The sequence below is a fragment of the Homo sapiens genome, chromosome 2 (assembly GCF_000001405.40).
Source record: "Homo sapiens chromosome 2, GRCh38.p14 Primary Assembly".
NCBI lineage: Eukaryota > Metazoa > Chordata > Mammalia > Primates > Hominidae > Homo > Homo sapiens.
Window position 1 is genome coordinate 224,248,923 of NC_000002.12, and position 3,919 is coordinate 224,252,841.

A 3,919-nucleotide genomic window follows, 5' to 3' on the forward strand; every position below is an offset into this window, starting at 1 on the left:
ACTATGGAGGACATATCAAACATTTTAAGTAAATATACTTTTCCATGTAAAACACTCTATTACTCACCAATGATCAAATTACTAAATATATAGAAATCAAACATAGTTATCATTTGAGTCTCTCTCTGCAAGTGATACATTTGCTACATTTCCACTGCCAAAAATATTTCTCCTTGGGGTTTTCTTTTATTTTTTAAGGAAGTCTTTTCAAAAATTAAGAGTTGCATGCTTATGAGTCTCACTTTTCATTGACCAAGTCTTAAGGCTTTGAGGGACTTTGAACTGGAAACCATGGTGATGACTCATAAATGTCACATTAGCATGATAAGCAGCAGATTTTGATTTTGTGGTGAGATTATACATTTTATCCATTACTAAAATAGATTATTGAGATTATATGGAAACTAACTTCAGTAATCGCAATCTATAAAATGGATCTTTTGGAAAGATCTTGTGTTCCAAAGTTGTTTACTGTTCTAAGAACCAAGCCAGTGTACTGTTGGACACCTCATTTGACTAGTATTCAGATCCCCTACATAAAAGAGCTTTTTTTAATGAATAAAAAAATCCACAAAAGAAAATAATGTCATCTCACTTGATTAGCTGAAACAACATAAACTTCTTGGAAAAAAACCAATAATGACAACAGTAAACAAATGGTACATTTTATATGCATCATTTATTTTTTCTGTGCTGACAAGTACCTTTTTAAGGTGTTCTGTTTTAGGGGAAAGCACCAATGATTGAATACTAGTGAAGATTAAGTTGCTTACCTATCACCTGCTTAGTGGTATTTTGTGTTTCTTGTCAGTAACAATATCAAAAGCAGTTTATTAGTTTGTTTTTCTCTTTTTTTTTGTAGGTCTTGGGTCTTGGACAAGTCACAACTGTGTTACCTTCAATGAAAACAGCAGACAAATCTTATTTGTAATATTTTTTGTGATTCTCAGAATTTGCCAAGGATCAATGGAAGCATTTGCCTCTTGTCACATTCAGGCCACTGAACAGGTGGCCTGAACAGCTTGGGCTACTGAAGTGGCATTGAACTCAGAGCCAAGATATCTGAACATTGCCGAAGAAAAATACTGCAAAGAAAATGAGATAAAAGTGTAGGTGATCGAGAGCAGGACTGAGAAGTGTAGGAAAGATATTAAAAGAAAGATTGTGGGCAGGGCACAGTGGCTCATGCCTGTAATCTCAGCACCTGGGGAGGCCGAAGCAGGCAGATCACTTGAGGTCAGGAGTTCAAGACCACCCCGGCCAACATGGTGAAACCCCATCACTACTAAAAATACAAAAATTAGCTGGGCGTCGTGGTGGACACCTGTAATCCCAGCTACTCAGGAGGCTGAGGCAGGAGAATCACTTGAACCTGGGAGGTGGAGGCTGCAGTGAGCCGAGATCATGCCACTGCACTCCAGCCTGGGTGACAAAGCAAGACTCTGCCTCAAAAAAAAAAAAAAAGAAATATAGTGGTTGTTGGTGGTGTCTTTAAACTTGCTTTGTTTTCCCCTGAGAATCTGAATTCCTTAAAATAGCTAAAAGAATGTCTCCAGTCTAACAAGGGAATTATTGAAAACATTATTCACATACCATATTTCTAAGAAATTAATTTTCATGCAAATCTATTTGATCTGCTGAAGTTTTCAGTTCCTTGACATAGACCTAATTTTTTTCTGACACAGCAAAATAGCATCTTCATTTGGTCTCTGTACATGATAGACTTCCTAACTTAGCTAAACAAATGCGTGTTCTCTAGAACTAGCCTCCAATGAACATAATCAAAATTGCATAAAGAATAGATTTTCAATGTTTTCACCACAAAAAAGATAAGTTGCTGAGGTGATGGATATAAATTACTTAGTTTGACTAAATCTCTCTACAATACATAAATAGATCAAAACATCACATTGTATTCTATAAATATATGCAATTATTATTGGTCAATTAAAAATAAATTTGTAAAAAATCTTGAATAGAATGTAAGCAGAGAAAAGAAAGAAATCCTTTCCTGAATCAAAAATGTCAGTTTCCAAATGTGTGAATCATTAATACTGAATAAGAAGCACAGTACTATCTCATTTCAGCCATTTCTTCTTTCTCTATCTCACTTCTTTACTTAAAAAATTAAAATGGGCTTCCTAACCTTTCCCATTATACCCCTCAATATTAACAGTAATTTTAGCTTATTTGATATTTTTCTTAAAAATACAACTATTTGAACAGTATTGCGTTATTTAAGACAAGTAAAATTCCAAATATTTTCAAGACAAAATAACAAGCTGTATTGCAGCAGGTTTTCAAGTAGAATAATAAAGTTTACGTGCAAGAAAAATAAAACTTTTGGCTTGGTTTGTAAATATGTGTCAAACTAATGTATTCTTGCCCACAATATTTCCTATAATATCCCATTCTGTTGGGCTTAACTCAAAGTTATTCATCTGTTTTTAAAACTTAGATTCTCCCACGCATTGGAAATTGTTAGAGATGTATTATGGGGAGCTTTGGGCAGAGGTCCCAGGAATACCCACACTCATCCTAGCCCAGCTACTCTTCCGATGAGATCCTATGGTAAGTAGGTAAGCAGGGAGGAATGGAGCCAGCAAAATATCTTTCCTAGTGGACCCTGGGGCGTAAACCTCAAAGAAGAGTATTAATGAGAGAGGCAATAGACAATCATCAGTTGCCTTTGTCTGACAGCTACCTATGGCCTCAAAATAAGGAAATTGGAGAGGCCTATTCTTGCCTTCCTACCAAGCCCACACTTGCAACTTGCCTGTAGACACAGTGGGAGGACGAAACCTCAGTGCAGAGCATGCCAGCCTCCGCAAGGAGGAAGAGAGTAGTGGGAGCAATGAGAGAGGCTGCCTCCAGTGTCCGGAGATGCCCACCCAGAGCTATTCAAATCTACCCAGTCCAGGTTGGTCTAACCCAGAAGATCTGAAAGCCCCATAAAACACTGAAGAAGGGAGCTGAGGAAGAAGCAAGATTTCTCCTTCCTCTATCCTAGGAGCAAAAATATAGCCACAGGAAACGAAGAGTGGAAGAAACAGATTGGCCTTCTCCCAACTCTGGTGGAAGAGACACAGAAAGAAGTGTGACTACAGTGGGCGTTAGTCCCAATACTGTGTCTTCACCATAGACACCACCTTAAAAAAATGTGGCCCAATTAATATCCTAGACTTTTGGCCTGGTGTGGTGGCTCATGACTGTAATCTCAACACTTTGGGAGGCTGAGACAGGAGGATCACTTGAGGCCAGGAGTTTGAGACCAGCCTGGGCAACATAGTGAGACCCTGACTCTACAGAAAATTTAAAAATAAGCCAGGTGTGGTGGCATGCACCTGTAGTCCCAGCTACTTGGGAGGCTAAGGCAGGAGGATCACTTGAGCCTACTAGGAGTTCAAGGTTGCACTGAGCTATGACCTCACCACTACACTCCAGCCTGGGTGACAGCAAGATTCTGTCTCTAAAAAAACTAAAAATAAAAAATAAATCCTAGACTTTGACTAAGTCATAGCCACATTTCTCATTAGGATATTTGAGGGTTTAAGGACTTTGATAGGAAAAACTATGGACTTCAAATCTAAATTTTTGTCACAATTTTACTCTAAAAGGTATTTTTACATACTACATGTAATAACTTTGCATCTTCATGTACGATATACCTGTGTACACACACACACACACACACACACAGATGAATAATCCTCCTCCCCCAGTTTTGGGTAGGAAACTACCTTTAAAGTTATTCAAATTTATTAGCTTCTGCTTACAGTGAACATTGAGGTTAGAAACCATATCTTGCACTACCAACCCAGTAAATATGCACAAAGGATTATGAACCAATAAGAATGAAGTTGACTCAGGGTGATCTGTCCTGCTTCATATATCCAGCAAATCTTGGCTAATCTAAAAT